The sequence below is a fragment of the Homo sapiens genome, chromosome 14, assembly GCF_000001405.40.
Source record: "Homo sapiens chromosome 14, GRCh38.p14 Primary Assembly".
NCBI lineage: Eukaryota > Metazoa > Chordata > Mammalia > Primates > Hominidae > Homo > Homo sapiens.
The window spans coordinates 70,721,028-70,745,573 of record NC_000014.9 but is presented as its reverse complement, the minus strand read 5'-3'; the positions used below and the strand labels follow the sequence as shown (position 1 = coordinate 70,745,573).

Genomic DNA, 24,546 nt, shown 5'->3' with positions numbered 1-24,546 from the left:
TAGAGACAGGGTTTCACTATCATGGCCAGGCTGGTCTCAAATTCCCAATCTCAGGTGATCCGCCTGCCTCGGACTCCCAAAGTGCTGGGATTACAGGCGTGAGACACCATGCCGGCCTTCTTTCTATCACTTTTATGGCTATTTTGACATTCTCCTGGGGATGGAAGACAAGCTGAATGGAGAGTTTATAGCATCAGAATATTGTATTCATTTCTTGATCTCTTTCCTCTCTTCCACTTTTACCTGCTGCTCAGCTTCCCCAATATGGGTTCACATGCTTGTTTTCTAGCTCCAGGTTCCCTTTCTACACTATTTTGTTTTAATCCAGAATGGTTACTTATAGTGAGTATTTCATTAAGAAGTTAGGTTTCGACCACAGAAGTGTAGCTGTGGCTCCTTTACTGAAGAAATATCCTGCTTTTTCAGACATGGCTCTCTCCAGGTTCCACCCCACACCCCACTTTAATCCAAGGCCCAGGGTAACCAGCATTAAGAGTTTAAAATCTAGATTTAAAAATTTTGTAGGCATGCTTTGTTTTCTTTCCTGTTTCCTGATTCTATATCCCCTCCCCTCTTGCCAGGAATTCAGTGCTGGGCTCACTTGTGAACTCATGCGTAAGGATAAAGGGGAGGTAGGGAAGAGGTTCTGCCATCTGATGTGGCTCCTGCTTCCATTCTCAGAGCAGGACAAAAGGGCCTGTTCTTGGGTCACAAGATGCAATTCCAAATGGGACTTTGTCCCAGTTCCACCCTCTAGCTTTCTGGCTTCAGCTCTCCCCCTAGCAGTGTGACTGACTGTCCTTCAGATTTGCAGGGGCACGGTCTGCTCTGGGGTGACATCTCCTGTGCTCATTGAGCAGTTTGTTTCAGGGGAGTGTGATAGAGCAGCAGCCAAATTTGGTTCTAGAGCAAGTGCCTGAAAAAGACCTCAGGAAATGTTCTCTTTTTTCCTTGCTATGCTTTTGTGATTCTTCTAGAGCAAATCATTGTCCTTTAAGATAAGGTGAGAGTTGAAACCACATACCTCAGTGGATTCATTCCTCAAGTGACCATGAAGATTTAGATGACATGCCTCACTTAGCTTTTGAGCAGCCACCCTGGAAACATATTTATATTTTATTGTTAGATGTTACCTGGAGGATGATTTATGTACAGTGGATACATTTTAAGCTGGATTAAGTTGGCTCTGCTTTAAAAATATCTTTTTTTTTATTTTTACTATTTATTTATTTTTAATTATACTCTTAAGTTCTGGGGTACATATGCAGAATGTGCAGTTTTGTTACATACACGTGCCATGGTGGTTAGCTGCACCCATCAACCTGTCACCTACATTAGGTATTTTTCCTAATGCTCTCCCTCCCCTAGCCCCCCACTCCCACAGGGTGTGTGACGTTCCCCTCCCTGTGTCCATGCGTTCTCATTGTTCAACTCCCACTTAGAGTGAGAACATGAGGTGTTTGGTTTTCTGTTCTTGTGTTAGTTTACTGAGAATGATGGTCTCCAGCTTCATCCACGTCCCTGCAAAGACACGAACTCATCCTTTTTTATGGCTGCATAGTATCATGGTATATATGTGCCACATTTTCTTTATCCAGTCTATCACTGATGGACATTTGGGTTGGTTCCAAGTCTTTGCTATTGTGAATAGTGCCGCAATAAACATACGTGTGCATGTGTCTTTATAGTAGAATGATTTATAATCCTTTGGGTATATACCCAGTAATGGGATTGCTGGGTCAAATGGTATTTCTAGTTCTAGATCCTTGAGGAGTTGCCACACTGTCTTCCACAATGGTTGAACTAATTTACACTCCCACCAACAGTGTAAAAGCATTCCTGTTTCTCCACATCCTCTCCAGCATCTTTGTTTTCTGACTTTTTACTGATCACCATTCTAACTAGTGTGAGATGGTATCTCACTGTGGTTTTGATTTGCAATTCTGTAGTGACCAGTGTTGATGAGCTTTCTTTCATATGTTTGTTGGCTGCATAAATGTCTTCTTTTGAGAAGTGTCTGTTCATATCCTTCACCCACTTTTTGATGGGGTTTTTTTTTTTCTTGTAAATTTGTTTAAGTTCTTTGTAGATTCTGGATATTAGCCCTTTGTCAGATGGATAGATTGCAAAGTTTTCTCCCATTCTGTAGGTTGCCTATTCACTCTGATGATAGTTTCTTTTGCTGTGCAGAAGCTCTTTAGTTTAATTAGATCCCATTTGTTAATTTTGGCTTTTGTTGCCATTGCATTTGGTGAAAAAACATCTTTTATATAATAGAAAAAATTTGGCTTGTCGCAGTGACTCACGCCTGTTATCCTAGCACTTTGAGAGGCTGAGGCCGATGGATCACTTGATGCCAGGAGTTTGAGACCAGCCTGGCCAACATGGTAAAACCTAATCTCTACTAAAATACAAAAAAATTAGCTAGGTTTGGTGGCACATGCCTATAATCTCAGCTACTCCGGTGGCTGAGACATGAAAATCACTTGAATCAGGGATGCAGAGGTTGCAGTGGGCTGAGATCGCACCGCTGCACTCCAACGTGGGTGACAGAATGAGTTGCTGTCTCAAAAAATAGAAAGTAAAGTACAACCAAGTCTGTAAATAAATACATGATTATATTTTCTATTCAAACCTATATATATATATATATATATATATAAATATATATAAATCACAGGCAATTTTAATGAAGAAGGAAGGAGCGACTAGAAACTCTTAGCCCCCATTTCTAGGGCTTGACCTATGGCTTTATCTTCTCTGACTGTCCCGTCAGTATGGCTGTTCTGAGCCTTCCTTTCCCCACCATTCAAGGTGGTCTAATGTTCATTTACCAGCTATCGAGTCCTCTCTCTTCACTGAGCATCATAGGAGAGCTCTCCAGGTCACCATAAGCCCTCTGGGAGCTCTCAGGCCTCACCCCAGAGCCCCTCTGCACTGAGCACCCCAGTCTTTTCTCTGATGGTTCTGCCCATCCTGCAGGAACTTCGCACCTGGGAGGAGGAGCTGACGCGGGCTGCACTGCAGCAGAAGAACCAGGAGGAACTGCTGCGGCGTCGGGAGCAGGAGCTGGCCGAGCGGGAGATTGACATCCTGGAACGGGAGCTCAACATCATCATCCACCAGCTGTGCCAGGAGAAGCCCCGGGTGAAGAAACGCAAGGGCAAGTTCAGGAAGAGCCGGCTGAAGCTCAAGGATGGCAACCGCATCAGCCTCCCTTCTGGTCAGTGGCCGGGGACTGGCTGGGAAGTGGGAGCAGGGCAAAGAACTCGTGTGGCAGAGGGTTTGAGGGAGTCCGGGACTGAGCTTGGAAACATGACACCCTGGGGCTCAAACTCCAGCCTGTTTTAAATGGGCCATTCTGTTCACTGGAAAGACTGGCATGTTGAAAATCTACCCTACTCCAGGGAAATTGTTGCATGTGAGTGAACACAGAATATGAAGTGAGGACAACCCGGCAAGGTCCAGGCTGCTAGAAGCCTGGTGGCTCACAGGGGCACATCTCACTTTAGGCAAACCTGGAGAAGGAAGCATGAAGTTGGGGGAAAACATTCCAGGGTGTGCATGTGTGAGACACGAGAAGTTTTGGCTCTGCAAAATAACTTGTCTCAAGGTTTCTTTTTTTTGAGACAGAGTTTTGCTTTTGTTGCCCAGGCTGGAGTGCAATGACAAGATCTTGGCTCACTGCAACCTCCACCTCCCCGGTTCAAGTGATTCTGCTGCCCCAGGCCCCCGAGCAGCTGGGATTACAGGCGCATGCCACCACGCCCAGCTGATTTTTGTATTTTTAGTAGAGACAGGGTTTCACCCTCAAGTGATCCACCCACCTTGGCCTCCCAAAGTGCTGGGATTACAGTTGTGAGCCACCACTCCTGGCTGACGTTTTTTTAATTAGTCCCCTGAGTGCAGTTGAGACTGGGTTTAATGTATGAGAATTTACATGATAAGATTTACATGTGACCTTTCAGACACACACATCAGTTGAATAAACATGCATTTGTTGTACTGCAGCCTTGGGGAAAATATAAAGAAATATGAAACTATTAATTAGAATCTTTGTGGTGTGTAATATATCCATGGAGGGAGCCGAATGCTAAAATGTGTGTTGATGTAGATAAAGATATTCACTGTGTTCTAAGTCTATGAGGCCCTAGAAAGCAGGCTTATTAGAAGTGTAAGGAACAGGCCAGGTGCAATGGCTCATGCCTATAATCCCAGCACTTTGGGAGGCCGAGGCGGGTGGATCATCTGAGGTCAGGAGTTCGAGACCAGCCTGACCAACATGCAGATACCCCGTCTCTATTAAAAATACAAAATTAGCCGGGCATGGTGGTACATGCCTGTAATCCCAGCTACTCAAGAGGCTGAGGCAGGAGAATTGCTTGAACCTGGGAGGCGGAGGTTGCAGTAAGCGGAGATTGCGCCCTTGTACTCCAGCCTAGGCAACAAGAGTGAAACTCCATCTCAAAAAAAAAAAGTGTAAGGAACAAAGAAAGAATGGTCTAATGGGGCAGGAGTAGATGATGTTAAGCACTAAAATGGTGGCTTAATTAAGTACAGATAAGGGAACTCATTCCATGCAGTTGAGTGAATATGTTTATGAGCCGTGTTTGCTGGTCCCCTTGCTGCACATTTGTTTTTCCTTTTCAGACAGCATGGACTCTTTAAGCACCCTTTGAGCATCTAGCATGTGTCAGCATATTGTTGCATGTCAGGATGCAGATAGAAAAGCTATAGTTCCCACCTGCAGGGAGATCACAGTCTAATGGGGAGACATAGGTGCAAGCAGCAGCTGTTTATTTTACCTCTTTGATAGATGAGGAGACTGAAACTCAGAAATTCAGACCTGTAAGTTTTACATTCTTTATGCTGTACTGTAACTTCCTTTGGAATGTGTCCGAATTGGAGCCATTTGCTCCATCTCCCTCACTGCCCTAGGTTCCCACAAGGGCTAGTCATTGATACCCTGCTGTGCCTGCACTTAGTGAGAAGAATCAGTGTCCCTGCTTCAGTCCCTGAGAAAAGAGGACCAAATCTATCTGATAATAGATTATGTGAAACCAATAATTTTAAGTTAAATTTCCTAGAATAATCAACAACATCTCATGAGCTAAACAGCTATTCTTAATACATAACTGCTTGAACTATATTCATTATATAGACAGCTTTATGAAGCTCACAGATGAAGTTCACTTGCACAGTGAATTTTCCATCTTTTTATACGTTCATCTCCCCATGTCCCTTGGGAAAAAGAGATGATTCTAAAAGAGAACATTTCCCAGGTGAACAAAGAGCTTTTCAGGAAACTGGGGCCTGTCCCTCAAGGATGCTGAGGAATGTCATATTTCTTATATGAATTTAATTATGGGAAATGTTAATGCATACACGTGTTTGTCTTTCCCCAAGCAGATTTCCAGCACAAGTTCACGGTGCAGGCCTCCCCTACCATGGATAAAAGGAAGAGTCTTATCAACAGCCGCTCCAGTCCTCCTGCAAGCCCCACCATCATTCCTCGCCTTCGAGCCATCCAGTGTGAGACTGTTTCCCAAATTAGCTGGGGCCAGAACACACAGGGGCACCTGTCCCCTGCTCTGTCCAGCCACCGACTGGTCCAGGCTTGCTCCATCCATAACTTCTGCCACCTCTCCTCGACAATGTGTATATACATGCACATATGTACGCAAACCCTTAGCCCTCTCCCTTGTCTCTCTCCATTAACTTTACTACTGCCCCCTCTACCTTTTAGTCACATATCAGCAAAGGGATTTGTGGGTACTAATGGGATCTTTAGTGGTTTGCAAAGCAATTTAGAAACTGGTGTGTGATGTGGATACAGGTTGCTACCTGGCCTGAGAACCTAACACACTCTTTGCCATATTTGGGGCATCATTGTTTTTCTTTAGTCCACACTTCCCAAGGAAGGGTTTTTTTTTCAAAGTATAGGTCCTAAGGAAACTTGCCATATACTTTATAATAAGCCAAATCTGGACCAATTTTATCTTTGCTACAGTATTTGCTTAAAAAAAATACTCACACATACATGTAAGTGTGTGTGTGTGTGTGTGTGTGTGAACATACACCTATATGTGAATGAATTAGTTTCCCTGGTTTAAAGACAGATTTTATTTAAAAATCCAAGATTTCGGCTGGGCATGGTGGCTTATGCCTGTAATCCCAGCACTCTGGGAGGCTGAGGCGGGCAGATCATGAGGTCAGGAGATCGAGACCATCCTGGCCAACATGCTGAAACCCCGCCTCTACTAAAAATACAAAAAAGTTAGCTGGGCATGGTGGCACCCATCTGTAGTCCGAGCTACTTGGGAGACTGAGGCAAGAGAATCGCTTGAATGCAGGAGGCGGAGGTTGCAGTGAGCCAAGATTGCGCCACTGCGTTCCAGCATGGGCGACAGAGTGAGACTCCGTCTCAAAAAAGAAAAATCCAAGATTTCTAGCTTTCCTTGAAAAATGAAATCAAATCAGTAGGTTTCTTTTTTCATGTGGCTACAGTTGGCTGGCACTAATAGCAGCTTCCGTATACTCCATATTTTGCCTCAGCCCCTTCAACTCCTTGTTTTTTGGTAACTAGTTTGCTCGTTTATGATATAAGCACAGTCCCTGGGGCATTTGGGTCTCAACCCTTGCTCCAAGGTATTAATGTCAGAAAAATATTCCTCCTCTCTTATCTGTCTTTCTCTAGGCCTCTTTCTTCCCCTTCTCCCACTCCAGACTTCCTTTTCCATAACCTTGAACTCCTCATTTTCTTCCCAACCCTTTCTTTCCAAGATTCCTGCATTTCCACGCCTTCCTTACCCCTTGTCTTTTTTCCCCCCTTACCTGCCTCCTTATTTGCTCACTACCCAATCCCACCCAACAAAACAGGTAAAGTCAGATCTGTTTGGAACTCTGATGTCTGGCTGGCCTAAGCTCTAGCTTTACATTGGATTTGTGAAAATTGAAGAAGTGTTTCCATGTTTAGTACTTTGAGAGAGCTAAATGATTGGTGGCTGAGAACTCCATTACTTTCCTGGAAGGGTCCACTTGGGCACAGAGTTTTTGATAAGGTCTAACTTCCCTGCAGCTCCAAATGTGTGTGTGTGTGTGGTGGTATAGAGGCTAGTTTGGGGGAGCCCTGTCTGTCCATTTTCTAGATCCTATCCAACCCTTGTGATTCACAGTGACACCAGGTGAAAGCAGCAAAACCTGGGGCAGGAGCTCAGTCGTCCCAAAGGAGGAAGGGGAGGAGGAGGAGAAGAGGGCCCCAAAGAAGAAGGGACGGACGTGGGGGCCAGGGACGCTTGGTCAGAAGGAGCTTGCCTCGGGAGATGAAGGGTAAGTGCCAGATGACATGAAATTCTTTCTCTCTTGAAGATGGATGTACCATTTAAACATAGGATATGAAATAACTTTTTTTCTCTGTCGTGTGTTTGATTGCTTTCTGAGAAATTACAAGCTTCTTGATCTTTACAACAGTTTTTCACCCTCCAAGTTCCTGGAACGTCCTAGAACAGGCATGGAAAACTTTTTCCATAAAGAGCCAGATAATACATATTTTAGGCCTTGTGATTCCTATGGCCCTGTCACAACTCTTGAGCGCCACTGTTGGAACACAGAAGCCTCCAGAGACCATGGACAACATGTAAATGAGCGAGTGTGGCTATGTTCCAGTAAAACCTTATAAAAGCAAGTGGCGGGCAGGGTTTAACCCACCAGTTATAGTTTGCCAACCCCTGAAGGCGTTCTACTCAGAGTAGCAAGTAGCCCAAGCAGTAACCAAATGTAAAAAGTTCTGCCAGGGTGTTCTGCTTATACCTGGCTCTTCTTCCATTTTTAAAGCAGAGGAAAGAGAAGAAAGAGCAGAAGTTAACAGGACTCTCTTGCCTAGAGGCTCATGCTGAAGCAGGGGCAGGCAGAATAACCCAGCCCTGGTAGTACAGTTGTATACAACTCCAGGGCCGCTAGAACTATTTTCAGATCTCACCCCATAGCCACACTGCCATGTATGATGGCTCCTCTGGGCAGGGCACAAGAGGGGTGAGAGCCTGGAGTGTGCTTGTGTTCTCACTCGTGGGCTTGAGTCCTGGGGGTCAAATTCTCCCCTGAGTCTGGGTTCTTCACAGGCAAGGCACTCATAGTGTAGTAATGAAGATCTTTGACTCTGGCACCAAACTGCCTGGGCATGAACCCTGGCACCACCACACCTAGCTGTGTGACGTTATGTTTTCTCATTTATAAATGGCATAACATTAGTACCCATCTCATGGAGTTGAGGCAAGGACCAAATAAGTTCATCTTTGTGAGTGCAGAGAGGATGAGCTGGCCCATAGTGAGCGTATGTAAATATTAGCTGTGATGACACTTCCTGCTTCTCATGCAATTTTACATCATATCTGAAGAATGGACGGAACCGTTTATACTTCATATTCTTGGTGTTAGAAGCTAGCACAGTGTTTCTTGATGTTTCTATTAAATAAGTGCGAGGATAGCCAGCAGTCTCCTTCCACATTTTTTAGTGACTTTCTAAAGAGCTTCTCAGGTTGAATATTAGGCTTACAAGTGCCCTGAACCTGCAAGTGGCCTTGGTAATCCTTTAAACACTAAGATTCCATGTCCAAAATCTATGATTTTCCCATGTCAGATCTGAGCCGAAGGTAAAAATAACAGTTTGATTCATAAAGGATTGACTCTCTGAAGCTAGGCTTTGTAAATCACTAGATACCTTTGAGCAGAAAGTTTAGATATGTAGGGCAAACTACCTCAGCTATGTAAGAATCCAGCGATGGAATCCTTGGGGGATGGCAGATTCTTCTACTAAGTTTTGTAGGAGCAAGAGCTCTCCAGTTTGTCCCTTGAGCTCTGGGCTAGAGTAGGGTTGAGCTGGGTCTGAGAAACTCAGTCACCCTGAGTCTCTTGATTTAAATATTTTTTTTCTTTTGGTCTTGGTAGTAAATTAACTTTATTTCACATTGCAAAATATTAACTTCGGAATTTTCTTCTTCCTCACAAACTTTTGAAGGAATTAAAAAATATATGACTTAATTTTTTCATGAGTCTTAGTTCCTATTGAAGAAATAAAAGTATATTCTATCCAGACTTGAGTGAAGACCCCTTTAATGTCAGAAATTTTGAGAACTTCTATGTGATATTATTTCTGGTTTTAGTACCTTTTGACTAAAGAAAACACGTGATGAACAAAAGCCATTTTGAATTCAGTAATGTTAAGTGAGTTTTGCATCCTCATCCTTTTAAAAAATAATACATATTTGTCCAAAACATGCATACCTGTCTATAGACTGCTTGGGTATCTATGGATTCACAGTCCCCCTGCAACCGTGCTGCAGCTGCCCAGGGATCTTTGTCCTGGGCCTGTCTTGGCTTAAACAGGACCATCTTGTTAAGATTCTTTCATGGTGTGGGCTTTGTGTCTGGACAGTGGGAAGGCAGCTGGCGATGTGGTGTGAATCCAGCCTTGGGTGTTTTGGTGTGGGAGAGGCTGAGCTGGATGTGCCCTCCATTGCCTGCTACTGATTCTCTTTATTCATTGAAGATCCCCTCAGAGACGTGAGAAAGCTAATGGTTTAAGTACCCCATCAGAATCTCCACATTTCCACTTGGGGTGAGTCTCATCTTCACCCTTTCACCAGCTGTCCTGGTAACAATCTCCCTTCCATTTCCTTGTTCTTACAGCATACCCCATAGAATCAAGCCTCGTTATTGCCAGGGCTGAACTGACTTTTTTGTTTTTGTTTTTGTTTTAAGCAGTACCATTGTGCACCTTGGGAAAATTCCTGTGTTGATCTAATTTTACCATATTCTTCACTCCACTGACCACTCCAATTAGGATACTCCTGGCACTCTTGGTTTTAGAGAGGCTTAGATATGTGGCTATTTATCCTTTGGTCTTCAGCACTGGTTTTGACTTTACTAATCTGGATTTTCCTGGATCCAGAGCTGGAAGTGATGTTACGAGAGTCTCAGTAGGAAGCCCCAGGCTGTGGGTTTGGCAGCAGGCTTATCTCTGACTATATTTTGGTTGAAACCAGTGGTGGTTGGGATGTACTTTAATTTGCTGGTATTTCTGATAGCACTTGAAACAGAATTCTGAACAGCGAAAAAGTTGGTCCTCTGTCTCTCTCAAGATGGCTGGGACTTTGGGGAAAGTGGTCTTTAGTTGAATGATTCTTCCTAGACTTAAAAAAAAAAAAAAAAAGAGCCACTCTGGTCATAATCCCAATATTTCCAGGGCAACCATAGCCCACAGATTCCTCAGTCCTCCCTTTTACTGTCCTCTAGGGAAAAGACCAGTGCTTCTAGGCCTCTGGTTCCCCCCTCCTACAAAGTGGTTGGCAGGGTGCCCAGGCTGTATCCTCGGAGAGTTACCGGCTTTCCATATGGGCTGATGACAGGGATTTGAAAGCGAGCTCCTGTCCTCTGTCTCTCCACCCCCAGACAGACCAAGGGCTCTGCTTCAGCACTGTGCACTACCCACGTAGGTCTGTCCCACAGTGCACTGGGTTGGTGCAGCTTTGTGGGTTGGTTTTGCCTTTTAAAAAGGGGATGGCTTTGAAAGTTGCCTAAGCATGCCATAAAGCTTGGAAGGAAAGCCTGAGAAATGCCTTATGTGGAGTAGCCTGGTCCACCTCTGCTAGCTCGGCTGCCCGGTGCTTGCCTGGCTTCGCAGGTCTTTGCATCACCGTAACTGTCATGCCATGAATGTGTTGTGTCCAGTGTCTGCTTCGAGTGCTTCTCTCTTGAGATGGGCTCAGGCAAGACCCCCAGCCAGCAGGGCCATCCTTATTCTTTCTGTCTGCTTGCCAGCTTGCCCACTAGTTCTTTCTACAGTTCCACAGCAGCATGTGAGGGGGATGGGTCATGTCATTGCCCTTTTCTTCCCTGGAGCATGTGCATTTCTGTTTGTGAAGCAGGTGGGCTTGGTAAGAGTCATTGCCTGTATGTACTCCAAGGTTCTTTGGTAGAATGAAGCAGGCAGGGAGAAACGTCTCCATAGACCCATGGAGCTGAGGGTCAAGTAAGAAAGGTAACCAGTTCTGACAGTTTCCTCTTTTCCTCTGATTCAGCCTCAAGTCCCTGGTAGATGGATATAAGCAGTGGTCGTCCAGTGCCCCCAACCTGGTGAAGGGCCCAAGGAGTAGCCCGGCCCTGCCAGGGTTCACCAGCCTTATGGAGATGGGTAAGCATAGCTCCTCTTGAGAGTCTTGGCTGTCTCCCTGCTCCCTGGGGGCATTCTTGCCCAAGCTTCTAGGACCATTTAAGGACCCCTAGCACTGCTTCATGGAGGAAACATTGGGAATGTTTTTGTTCTAGAATGTTCAGTGTTCTAGAAACTCATACTACACTTGTATTAAGGGGCCGGTATTAGTCAGGGTTCTCCAGAGGGAGAGAACCAATAGCAACCAAAAGGAAGTTTATTAGGGAGAATTGTCTCACACAGTTACAAAGGCAAAGTCCCATGACAGGCCGTCTGCAAGCTGGAGAATGAGAAAAGCCTGTAGTATGGCTCCCAGGGAAGACAGTAGAGTGGCTCAATCCCAGTTTGAAAGCCTTAACACCAGGGAAACCAGCAGTGCAGCTCCCAGTCTGAGGCCTGAGAGCCTCCGAAAGGCCTCAGTTACAAGTCTGAGAGTCCAAAGGCTGAAGAACCTGGACTCTGATTTCCAAGGGCAAGAGGAGAAAAAGTGTCCCTCTCCAGAAGGGAGAAACAGAGAGAGGAAGCTCAGCAAACTGAGCATCCCCCTTTTTCTGCCTGCTTTGTTCTAGCCTTGCTGGCAGCCAGTTGGGTGGTGCCCATCGACATTGAAGGTGGGTCTTCCTCTCCCTGCCCCCTGACTCCCATCTTAGTCTCCCCTGGAAACAGCCTCACAGACACACCCAGCAACTGTGCTTCACCAGCCATGCAGGCATCCCTCAGTCCAGTCAAGTGGATACCCAAGTCACTATCACAGATCCCTTATGAAAGAAATGGCAAATTAGCGGATCTTTTATTCTGCTCTAAGGAAATGGGCTCTGGAATGGAGAGTGGTTTCCCTGTGTTGGGGGGTGGATAAAGCCCCCTTGGTTCAGTGTTCAATTCCATGTCCTGCTCATCACACCATTGAACCTTTGTGTCCCTGAGACTGAGACAGGAGGCCTGGGGTGAGGGGAAAGGGCCAGATTCTTATTCCTGCCACCTCATTTCCATTTCCTGTTTCTCTTCCACTCTTGTCATCTTCACAGAGGATGAGGACAGTGAAGGCCCAGGGAGTGGAGAGAGTCGCCTACAGCATTCACCCAGCCAGTCCTACCTCTGTATCCCATTCCCTCGTGGAGAGGATGGCGATGGCCCCTCCAGTGATGGAATCCATGAGGAGCCCACCCCAGTCAACTCGGCCACGAGTACCCCTCAGCTGACGCCAACCAACAGCCTCAAGCGGGGCGGTGCCCACCACCGCCGCTGCGAGGTGGCTCTGCTCGGCTGTGGGGCTGTTCTGGCAGCCACAGGCCTAGGGTTTGACTTGCTGGAAGCTGGCAAGTGCCAGCTGCTTCCCCTGGAGGAGCCTGAGCCACCAGCCCGGGAGGAGAAGAAAAGACGGGAGGGTCTTTTTCAGAGGTCCAGCCGTCCTCGTCGGAGCACCAGCCCCCCATCCCGAAAGCTTTTCAAGAAGGAGGAGCCCATGCTGTTGCTAGGAGACCCCTCTGCCTCCCTGACGCTGCTCTCCCTCTCCTCCATCTCCGAGTGCAACTCCACACGCTCCCTGCTGCGCTCCGACAGCGATGAAATTGTCGTGTATGAGATGCCAGTCAGCCCAGTCGAGGCCCCTCCCCTGAGTCCATGTACCCACAACCCCCTGGTCAATGTCCGAGTAGAGCGCTTCAAACGAGATCCTAACCAATCTCTGACTCCCACCCATGTCACCCTCACCACCCCCTCGCAGCCCAGCAGTCACCGGCGGACTCCTTCTGATGGGGCCCTTAAGCCAGAGACTCTCCTAGCCAGCAGGAGCCCCTCCAGCAATGGGTTGAGCCCCAGTCCTGGAGCAGGTGAGTCTTCTTCCTCTTTTCTCTTTCCTTTCTTTGTGCCTCCTCAGGGAGTGAAGATGTTTGCAGGCCTCATTTTCTCTTTCCACTTCGGGATTTGAGTGAACACCATTCCTCCTCTTAGCCAATCAAGAAATACAGATCTGGGATCAGGGAGGCAGCCAGGGCTGGCTGACTTTTCTCTGACCTGTGCCTCAGGGGTCTTCCCTGAGGATTGAAAGAAGACAGGCAGGTTCTAGGAAGAATCAGAAGACCTGGGACTCCTTTGGAATGTCCAGACCCTGAGTCTTAGGGTAGGGTAGTGTTTTCAGGGCACAGGAAGGGCAGGAGTCTAGCTTCTAGTTATTCCCTGAGGAGGATGATGCATTTTCCAGGAAGGAATCTTGCACTGCATGTGGGAGCAGTATTTTCTGCCACATAGCTGGGATTTTGCCTCTCATTATAGCATTAGTTCACACACACTCAGAAGGCAGGCTTCCACCCATTCATCACACTCTTCAACACTCACCCCTGACTCATACCTGCCTCTTCAGGCGTGGAGATGAGTCCAGGCAAATTGCTATCCCCGTGCATATGACTGCCCTCGACATCTGACACCTGGGGACACACACTCTTTCCTGTCACCATCTCTTTCCTGTCACCATCTCTTTCTCCCTGGAAGACCTAAGTCTGACTTGGAAACAGCCTCTAATCCAGTAGGAAAAGGGGGCATAGTAATACCCTTTCAATGAGATTTAAGTGTCAACAACAGTTGTATTTAACTGTTTGGCTTGACCTGCCCTCCTGTTTTTTGTTATACTCAGATATGTGACCTCTTTGGGAACAGAAACCCTACATTACTCACCTTTGGACTTCTGATACCTAGCTCTGTTCCCGTCACATGTTTATTACATGGATGAGCAGTAAATGAACAGACATGCCCTTGAGTCAGGAGGCAGCAAGCTTTTTTGGTGAAGGGCCAGATAGTAAATATTTTAGGCTTTGTAGGCCGTACAGTTTCTGTTGTAACTAAACTACGCTGCCGTAGTGGGAAAGCAGACACTGGATGTGGCTGTGTTTCAATAAAATGTTATTGTATACCTTTTTTTCTTTTTTTTGAGACAAAGTTTCTGTCACCCAGGCTGGAGTGCAGTGGTGTGATCACAGCTCACTGCAGCCTCAACCTCCTGGGCTCAAGTGATCCTCTTGCCTCAGCCTCCCAAGTAGCTGGGACTACAGGCATGGACCATCATGCCTGGCTAATTTTGCAAAAAAATTTTGTAGAGATGGGGTTTCATCATGTTGCCCAAGCTGTTCTTGAACTCCTGGGGTTAAGTGATCCTCCTGCCTTGGCCTCCCAAAGTGCTGGGATTATAGGCATGAGCCACTGTACTCCACCTAAAACCTTGTTTATAAACACAGGTGGCCAGCTTGTGTGTCATTTGCCAACATCTGCCTTCAGTTATTTCATTACATGTGACCCCCAAATGTCCTATTATTCTTATCAGATACAGGGATCATGGCATTCTAGGTCACTACTGTATCCCCAGTGCCTCCCAGTAGGTGCTCCACAAACATTTGGTGATTCATGTTCTCCTGATTGCGTAGGGATATGGTGGTGTTGGGGGGGAGTAGCGGATATCTAACCCCGAAATATGGTGCCTCATCTGATGCTTCTCCTTTTGTCTTTTTGACCAGGAATGTTGAAAACCCCCAGTCCCAGCCGAGACCCAGGTGAATTCCCCCGTCTCCCTGACCCCAATGTGGTCTTCCCCCCAACCCCAAGGCGCTGGAACACTCAGCAGGACTCTACCTTGGAGAGACCCAAGACTCTGGAGTTTCTGCCTCGGCCGCGTCCTTCTGCCAACCGGCAACGGCTGGACCCTTGGTGGTTTGTGTCCCCCAGCCATGCCCGCAGCACCTCCCCAGCCAACAGCTCCAGCACAGAGACGCCCAGCAACCTGGACTCCTGCTTTGCTAGCAGTAGCAGCACTGTAGAGGAGCGGCCTGGACTTCCAGCCCTGCTCCCGTTCCAGGCAGGGCCGCTGCCCCCGACTGAGCGGACGCTCCTGGACCTGGATGCAGAGGGGCAGAGTCAGGACAGCACCGTGCCGCTGTGCAGAGCGGAACTGAACACACACAGGCCTGCCCCTTATGAGATCCAGCAGGAGTTCTGGTCTTAGCACGAAAAGGATTGGGGCGGGCAAGGGGGACAGCCAGCGGAGATGAGGGGAGCTGGCGGGCACAGCCCTTTCTCAGGGTTGGACCCCCTGAGATCCAGCCCTACTTCTTGCACTGATAATGCACTTTGAAGATGGAAGGGATGGAAACAGGGCCACTTCAGAGGGTCTCCTGCCCTGCAGGGCCTTTCTACCCGTGTCCACTGGAGGGGCTGTGGCCATCAGCTCTGGCTGTGTAGGGGAGGAAGGGGTGCATGCATGTCCCCCACCCTCCACAGTCTTCCTTGCCTTTAGAGTGACCCTGCAGAGTCACTCAGCCAAATCTGTCTGCTGCTCCCTCTCCTCAGCCAGTTGGGTGTGCGCAGAGCTGTCATAGGGTCCCTTTGTCAGCCCCGAGTTCAGCTTCCCAAACACCAGTGTTGGATATTCTGTGATTGATTTTGGTCCTCCTCCGCTGTCCCCCAACACCCAGGAATGGGAATCTGGCTTGGTTCGAGATAGGAGCTTTTCTGTGTCCTAAGCCCTTTCATGCTAGCAGGAAGACTGAAAGCAAGGTGGCCCAGTGTGGGGTCATAGGGCTTGATAGACCTGGCACTGCCTATCTGCACTTCCAGGTGCCCCACCTATTTATCTGAGCCCACAGGTGGAAAGGGGAACTGCCTCAGTGAGAACGGGGGGACGGGGATGTTAGGAAAAATACAGTAAAGTTGCAATGAAGAGGTTCATGAAGTATGTCCTTGTTCTTTTTGGAAACTCTCGGCAAAGGGCAAACCAGCAAGTATTGAGGGTACCCATCTAGCTACTTGGGGTCAGGACCTCGTCAGACCAGGTTCGGATACAATCATCTGCTCATCCCAGGAATAGTTTCTTGGGGGACTCACTCACTGGTGCCAGTTCTAAGTCAGAGACAAAATTCCACTGTCTGTTCCTTTTGCTGTCTGAACTTTATGTGTTACTCCCTTCCTTTGGTCTTCACTCTAATCCCTGGAGTTTGTGGGCTTTTGGTTATGTTTGGTTAGTAGATATCACCGCAATGCCCTAGAACAGCTATGAAGCAGAATACCATATGGCCACCTGGACATTGGGACTTGGGAATTCACTCTCAACTGGGCCATCCATGTTGTGATGCCCTTGAAGTAAAATGGAGCCAGCAGGAGTACCTTCTGTAAATGCATGTGGCAAAGTGCTATTTATAGGGTGCCCAGGGAGCCGCTGATGTACAATAACCTTGAGGTCCCCCATACTGAAAACTGACCAAGGCCTGTGCACAGGTAGCCCCTCATGCTGGGCTCTGGACCATGAGCTGAGTAGGAAGGATAGCAGAGGCCAACCCTGACCTTCCTGGAAGTTGTTTCCTTAACTTGAATGTTGAGCTTCCTCTAAAGCTTTCTCGTGTATGTCTTCTCCATGCCACTACTCTGAGGCCTCCTGTGTTATGTGTGAACAGTTGTCTTTATGTGGGAATGACGACTTGATTGGGAGTAGAGTCTCAAGGTCATTCCCCTCTTCCCTCAAGACTCTCTGAATGCTGCTCCACTGTCTTTTGTCTTGGAGGTCACTCAGCAGGTTCCTTGCATTTGCTGCCTGGATGTGCAGCTGGCAACAGTGATGAATTGGTCACTGCTCTTTCTCTATAACTGGGATAGATGTCCTGCCTTGGGGTCACTAAAGGGGTGACCTTGTTCCTTGCTTTATGAGCCCATTAGCACTTTGGTTCAAGGGGCCCACCAAGTCTTGGACGGGAAGGCGCTACTGGTTTTATTGCCCAAGGTTTTGTTATTGCTTCTCTTCTGTGTCCTTCTCTTTGTTCAGTGAAGCCAATATGTAAGATACTGTTTTTGTCCCCATTCCCCTACTCCTGAGCTAGGAGGAAAAAATGTGAATCTTACCAGCAGTTCCAGCCAACCAAGTGATTCTTCTTCATTCTTGATGGGGAGAAGTACATACAAAGTTTGTTCTGACAGGGCGCGGTGGCTCACGCCTGTAATCCCAGCGCTTTGGGAGGCAGAGGCAGGTGGATCACCTGAGGTCGGGAGTTCGAGACCAGCCTGACCAACATGGAGATATCCTGTCTCTACTAAAAATACAAAAAAATTAGCCAGGCATGGTGGCACGTGCCTGTAATCCCAGCTACTCGCAAGGCTGAGGCAGGAGAATCGCTTGAACCTGGGAGGCGGAGGTTGCAGTGAGCCAAGATTGCGCCATTGCACTCCAGCCTGGGCAACAAGAGAGAAACTCTGTCTCAAAAAAAAAAAAAAAAAAAAAAAAAGTCTGTTCTGTGGCCTCCTTCCCCCGGGCCCTCCATAACCTCAGGCTAAACCATGAGCACATCTGTATATCCTTGGCTCCACTAAATGGCCCTCTTGTGGCCCTCCAAACCATGCTGCCTATACACAGTGCTCTGTGGTATGAAGCAGAGATTTTTCCTTTGCTCATTTTTAACTTTTGCCATTGTGGTAGGTTGCAGCCATCTTTCTAGATGTAGTGTAACTGATGTAGTGTAACTGAATGATGGTCACCTGCCATTGAGTGAGAGGTTGAGTGCCATCCTTACTTGTCCACTGTGGGGAAAGATAAAGCAAGCCTGGGTCTTTGCTAAGGAAATAATTGTACCTGAAAGAAGCAAAAGCAGGGCTATCCAAAGGTGCTACTGTGAGCATCCATGAAGAAGGAACAGTTACCATCTCTCAGCTCCTACACACCTGGTCTCTGATGGGCCCCTGACTGCTGCACTCTCTCAGTGGGGCAAGGTTGGAGATGGGCTAAGGATCTGTATAGTAGTAGCAGGTCTCAGTGGCTTTCTATTCGCTCAGGTTCCCTTGTTCTGTGGTCCTGGTCGGGAGCAGGCCCTGGAGCTGTGGATGAAGCCACTTGAGTGGCAGTAGCCGGCCCCCCTTTCCTCTGCCTTCCCTTTGCACAAAGACACGTTCCTTCTGCTCTTGGCAGGTGCTAACTTCATGGAAGATGGTAATAGGAACAGATACTGCTCTCTGCCCCTGCTTCTTGGATTCTTCAGCTCCTACCGCTGATTCGGATTATCCCCTTTTGACCCTCTTGGGGATCCAGACTGCTGCCAGGAGGCTGAGTAGATACCTCAGTTATCTGTATGTTATTTCTGAGAGGCTTTGGCGGATCCTCTTCACTTGGCATCCTGTGGCATCCCTAGGGTCTGGTGGTAGCAGTAATAGCAACAATGATATCTTACATCTGGACAACTCAGAATAGTGCTAACTTTTCCTCCTGACCTTTGCAAAATGACATCATTTTCCTTGTACATTTGATACCCTTGCTAGTAGAGAAGGGGAAATGCTTAAAGATGAAAATTCAAGTGAAGAGAAATGAAAAAGTGGCTTGGACTAATTGCTGAGTGAGGCCACTGGGCTCAGAACTGAACAGGTTGGCTGCATTCCCCATTCTGCTTTTGCTGTGTGGCCATAGGCTTGTCTCTTTAGCCCCTCTCAGATTTCCTTCCTTTAAAAGCAATCATCACATGCTTTCCTCTCAAGGGAGTTGGGTGTATGTATCAGAGAAGGTCAGTGAAACACCATAGCTCCTTGCCAGCTCCTAGAGGAAGCTTCTTTCATCTATACAGGATGAATCGCTGAAGTTGAGAGTGTGGCTCTCATCACCTTTGCCTTGAGGGAACTTGCCTTTTCTTTCGTCCTTTGGCTTCTGGAAGAGGAGTGATTTGGAGGTGGTTGAGCATGACTAATGGGGGCCCTGGTCGGGCCCATGCCCTTCTGCCGCATTTATATAGCATCTGGTGTTGACAAGCATTCTTTCCTAATTCCCCCACTTAACTTGTCTGATGCTGTCTGCCAATGTCATCCTCACCACTTGTGTCTTACAGAGAAGGAAATGGGAGAGGGAGGTTGTGTCTTACAGAGAAGGAAATGAGAGAGGGAGGTTGGTAGCAACATCAGAGTGACAGTTGGCTGTCTCTCATTTCTTGGGGTCATCAGTCTGATTTGTTTAGAGCCTGGGATCATCCCAGTTCCTGGAAGAATCTTTGGAAAAGGGTCCCCTTGTTCTTGGGACATGTGTCATGGTCACTAAGCCCCCTTTCCCTCAGGCTACTGTTGCTCAGGGACACAATGAGATACCCCAAGGACATCTAGACCTGACTTTTCATGAACTCTCTTGCCTCTGTGGTCCCCACATTGGAGACCTCCCTCCCTCCTCCTTCCCTTGTGTGAAGGAGACACCTCCCGAGCAATCCTAACTCATCCAGCTCACTTTTAACAAAGCAAAGAGCAGAGGGCACTGAAGACTGGATGGCTGTGAATGGTACACCTTGGGGTTGAAACCGTGTTGGCAGGAACCTGGTGATAAAAGCTGCCTACTTCCTGGGTGTGTGAATTTGCACATATCTTTTCCCCTCACTGGACTTCAGAAGCCTACTGTGAACTGGGGACGATGCTATCTACTTTCCCTCCTGAAGCCCTTCTAACTTTCAAATGTATGGTCCTGGGGCCATGAGTCCTGCACAGAAACTGCAGCCTTGCCAGATTGCTTCCCTTGGTGCAGAAAAGTGTGTGTGTGTGTGTGTGTGAAATATACGTACGGTTTTACGTCAAAAACAGTCGAATATCAGCTATTTCATATGGTTCACCCTAATGTACCTGCCTCTCTCTTTGGCTTTAGGTCTGAGAATGACTTGTCTTTGTCAAGGTATACTATTGTTAGAAACGCATTACCAAATGCATCTCTTCTGTCGGATCAGCGTATTCCTAGATTAGGAATTCAAATTAATGAAAATTCACATATGAAAGGAAAATCCATTGCTATTTCTGGAGAGGACCTCAGTCCTGGGCTTTTCCCTGGCATTGCTACCTGGGTGGGTGCTCACCACTCAGGTGCTGGTGTTGGAAGGCAGGAGGAGGAAGCTGAAATCCTGCCGATTAAGGCTAATTAACAGGGTTTAGGTGCCTAATTATCATGACTCAGCCCGGGACTTATGGTTAGCCGTGCAGGCCAGGTGAGTCTCTTATGGACTTCCTCTCAGACTGCTCTTTCTCATTTTGTCCTGATGAGATATTGACAGTCATGTCCACCCGCTTCCTCATCCATTTCCCGTCTTGGGCCCTGGAAGTACGGGGGCCTCTGTAGGCTGCCTAGGGAGCCCTGGCTTTGCTCTTCGTGTTGGGCTCACTCCATGATCAGGAGCCGGTGGGACTGGTCCTTCCTGATTCTTACTGTCTGTGGTTCCCCATCCCCTACGGGGAGCCTGCTTTGGGCCTTGAGCTGGATAGAGAGAAGAGCTTTGGGGCCCAGCTGGTTATAGGAGCTGAGCTTTTCCACACCTCTCTTTGTTAACCCTTGGAAACAGACCTGCCTTTCACCTGACCCATCTTCCTACCTGTCTGGTCTGACCTGCCCTCTTTGAAAGCACTCATCACCTAGTTTTACTAGGCTGATTGGCAGATGTGGACATGACAGGTGTCTATCGAGATAGGTGTCTAACTAGTTAGGTGTCTCAGGATTGGACAGCAGAATACCATTCCAGGGGTGCACAGACAGGCCTCTCCTACCGGAACATGAGGGATAGACGTCTGGGCATTCTGAACCCAGAGGTCAGAGTAGTCACAAGCGGAGCCCTGGGGAGCGAGGGCCCCAGGGCCGTGGTGTTCCTTGCCCTGCGCTCACTGAAGTCCAAGGCCAGGTTTCAGAAATAGTGTGCTGCCTGTTCCTGAGATCCTTCACACCTGGACACCAACCCAGACAAAGCCTGACTTAAAATTTTGATACTGTATTCATCGTGGAATTTTTCAATAACTCTGATTTTTAAAAAATACTGCATTGCAATATGATTTACCTTGATTACTGAGGCTCTTTTTTTTTTGGCACCCCTTTAAATTTTAACCCAAGGTGAGGGCCTCACTCCACTCTATACCCAGCCCTGCCTGCCCCTCACCTGGACCTGTGAGAGGGGCTTAGGTACCACTGTGAAATACGTTTTAAATTTTTACTTGCCCTTCCCCTCAGGTCCTGAGTGAGGCAGTGGCTCTCTGGCGGTGCTCGCATTTAAATAGGAGTGTGTAGGCTTACAGCAATGAAACATCTAGGAGCTTTTAACTTTGGATCTATACCTGGGTGTGACATTTCCTTGGTGTTCTCTGGCTGCCTTTCTGGCTCTGCAGCCCTGAGGGCACTTGTGTGTGTGTGTGTTCTCTGGAGAAGGGAAGTGATTATGGCAGAGAGGCTCCTTTAGATTCTCCTCTTAAACCTCTTTGGAACATGTTTGAATTCCAGAAGTGAATGAACTTCATTCATTCTCTCGTCCAGATTTCAGAAGGGACTAAAGTGAACGGAGGCTTTTTCACTCCCTGGCATGCTAAGAGCCACATTCCCTAGCTCTGTGCCTGCACAGTGAGTCTTCAGAATTTGGCCCATCACACCCTCTGCTAGTATCGTTTCCACCACCCTCCTCATCCTCTGTCATCTTTATTTCATTCTCATCGTTTATCTCTACCTCCAGTTCAGATGCCATGCTGGCTGTGGCTCTTTTCTTCATCACCATCAGAGTGAGGCAAAGATGTATCCTGGCCTAGTTATAAAGACGAATAATACATGATAAGAAATCATTAATTTTTTTCCACGTGGGGGGCGGTGCTGTCCTAGTGATTCATATATATATAATTTTTGACTCCTTACAATAATTCTGGGATGTGGGTATTACCCCCATTTAAGAATGTGGAAACCAAGGCTCTGATGGCTCTGTAATTTGCCCAGGGTCACACAGCTAGGAAGCAAGTTGCTGATCTGCTTGGTTCCAAAGTCACCTCTCTTTTTCCTCTGAGCACATTTCTAAGCCACTACTTAGAAGCTCTTGAGATAAAGTTGGCCTAGCTCAGGTCCACCGAGGTTTTGAGATTGCCCTTTGCCCAAGGAGGAGTTGTGTCCTTGGCTCACCTGTCATCTGCCTGTGACTGGACTTGAACCCTCGCACGTCTCAGCTGACATCCTTGATGCTGCTGGCTGCCTTCCTCGCCCTGTTTCCTCTCCATGACTCCAGGGGTTTGAAGCACACAGGAGCTGGACATGTCAATTCTGTAGCTCTTCTCCCAATACCACTGAAGGCCGTGAGCCTCTCTCCTGTTTCCAGCCTGCAGGTGCCCTGTTGCTGCTCTTCATTCCAGCTTCTCCTCACTTTTCTCTCAGTCTCTTGAGCTTGGAAGCCTTATTGTAGCTTGTGTCTCCTCCCTGGGCACTTGAGGTCAGGCTTTTGCCTTTTTGTCACATTGAGCCACATGCCTTTGATACACAGTTGTAGCAAAGAAGGGAGGTGATGAACTTGCTCACTTTCTTTTCTGATTTCCCTCCCTACTCATCCTGCACTCCCCACCGAAACCCAGATATCTTATAGTCTAAGGCTTGTAGAGGATTAAGGAAAGGAATTGGAGATGGGTTTTACTTAGTTCACAGAAAAGCTTTCTTTGGGATTTTTCCTCCCCCTTAGGGCTTTTAAGTCTAGGTGAAGTGAAAGTTCACACATGTGTTTGTTTGGTTGCTCTGTAATTAGCTACTAGTTTTTATCCCTAGACCTTCTCTGCTCCAGTGTCTTGTTCATGTGTCCTGACCCCGTGTCCTTGAATTCCCACTTTGCTTTGGGATTTAAGTTATTGTATGTTGTCAACAATATTTAAAGATGAAAAAGTCCTGAAGGAAACTTACCAGGTTCTTTCCTTTGGCTTTTTTTTTTTTTTCTTTCGAGGTACTGTAAATTGTTAACTAGGGATGCCAAGCAGGCTTGGTTCAATGGCTAAACCTCTTATTGTATTACAGTGTAATGCTGATCTCAGCCTGGTCTCAATGCCAGAGCACACAGAGACTTGAATAAAACTGTTATAACGATTACCTCTGGTTTGTTGTGGTTCTTTGTAAACTCATCCTTTCCCCCTTTTTTTTCTTTTTTTTTTGAGATGGAGTTTTGCTCTTGTTTCCCAGGCTGGAGTGCAGTGGTGTGATCTCAGCTCACCACAACCTCCACCTCCCGGGTTCCAGCAGTTCTCCTGCCTCAGCCTCTCAAGTAGCTGGGATTACAGGCGCCCACCACCATGCCCACCTAATTTTTTGTATTTTCAGTAGAGACGGGGTTTCATCATGTTGGCCAGGCTTGTCTTGATCTCCTGACCTCAGGTGATCCACCCACCTTGGCCTCCCAAAGTGCTGGGATTACAGACGTGAACCACCACACCCAGCCTCTTTTTACTTTTTAATTAAACTGAAGGCCATGAGTCTCTCTCCTCTGTTTCCAGCCTGCAGGTGCTCAAGTAACTGAGCTGTTTCCAGGGAGTTTTCATATGTAGGAAAGAAAGAACTGGAGAAAGACGGAAATGCTGTAGAAAAGAGGAGGTGGGTGAGAAGCTTCTCTGAGGGTCTAGGAGCCTCCAGCAGGACCATGGGAGCCTTTGTGAATGATGGTGCTGAACGGTGCAGTCTCTGCTCACAGTTGATTTTCACACAGCTCGTGGATTTTGGCTTTCAGAGCCACTTGTGAATATGTGCTGTCTCCTACTCCCTACAACTAACCATGCTGACATTCCTGGTGAAGTTGTGAATGGAGCTAAGAGGACAAACAGATGGAGTTATAGACATGTGAATAGGATTTGCTGGCTGTGAGTCACAGATTCCTTGTAGCTCTGATGCTCTTAATGGCACTCGTGAGCTGTGTGACCTTGGCAAGGCACTTAACCTCTCTGGGCCTCTTCTGGAGCAAGCTGATCACAAAGCAGCCTTTGTGCTCTCACTTTCCATGATTTTGTGTTAGGTGGGGATGAGGATAAAAGCAGACAGGATGAATCTTGTTTGAGGCCATTCTTCACTGCTTGAATCCTCTATTTCATCACTCAGCTACATGTGGAAGAAAACGACTTCTGAACTTAAATATTCAGACACCCTTGTGTGAATGCTGTAACCTTTCATTTCTCTCTGACCTCTTTGCTCTTTTCTCTGACACCTGAGGAGGGGTGACTCCGAGGTGGGGTTCTGTGCTGGATGCTTGGATTGGGAGGGCAAAGCTGACATTTTGCTGAGCCTTGAGGTTAGTTTCACCAGGATCCAGATAACCTTTGTAAAGCCAACTGGGCAAAAATGAAAAATTGACCAATCTCCTTGCTGGTGCCATATGGAAAGGTGCCATACTATTTTTGTTTTGTTGAGACAGAGTCTCGCTCTGTCACCCAGGCTGGAGTGCAGTGGTGCCATCTCAGGTCACTGCAACTTCCGCCTCCTGGGTTCAAGTGATTCTCATGCCTCAGCCTCCCCAGCGGCTGGGATTACAGGCACATGTCACCATGCCCAGCTAATTTAGTATTTTTAGTAGAGATGGGGTTTCGCCATGTTGGTTAGGCTG

At 47.4% G+C, this 24,546-nt stretch overlaps 1 protein-coding gene across 8 annotated transcripts in view, besides 1 other annotated feature; it reads left to right on the top strand.

The window, feature by feature from the left end:
• Positions 1 to 23,048, top strand: part of MAP3K9 (mitogen-activated protein kinase kinase kinase 9) — an 86,988-nt gene extending 63,940 nt beyond the window's left edge. For 3 of the 8 annotated variants that reach the window (XM_011536788.4, XM_011536792.1, XM_011536794.3), the window contains 8 exons: positions 2,983 to 3,223; positions 5,410 to 5,676; positions 7,176 to 7,329; positions 9,545 to 9,613; positions 11,076 to 11,188; positions 11,776 to 11,817; positions 12,232 to 13,035; positions 14,710 to 23,048. In XM_011536788.4, the coding sequence (XP_011535090.1) occupies positions 2,983 to 3,223; positions 5,410 to 5,676; positions 7,176 to 7,329; positions 9,545 to 9,613; positions 11,076 to 11,188; positions 11,776 to 11,817; positions 12,232 to 13,035; positions 14,710 to 15,194 (2,175 nt within the window). In that variant the 3' untranslated portion in view covers positions 15,195 to 23,048. The remainder of the gene's footprint in view (positions 1 to 2,982; positions 3,224 to 5,409; positions 5,677 to 7,175; positions 7,330 to 9,544; positions 9,614 to 11,075; positions 11,189 to 11,775; positions 11,818 to 12,231; positions 13,036 to 14,709) is intronic. The other 5 variants (NM_001284232.1, NM_001284231.1, NM_033141.4 and 2 more) reach the window with 4 other exon arrangements.
• Positions 3,089 to 3,590: an enhancer, noted in NCBI's record as "H3K4me1 hESC enhancer chr14:71208701-71209202 (GRCh37/hg19 assembly coordinates)". NCBI's record gives its function as "activates a minimal SCP1, AML or CMV promoter by ChIP-STARR-seq in naive H9 embryonic stem cells {active_cell/tissue: H9 hESC(naive)}" and the evidence as "EXISTENCE:reporter gene assay evidence [ECO:0000049][PMID:30033119]".
• Positions 23,049 to 24,546: the final 1,498 nt, after the last annotated feature.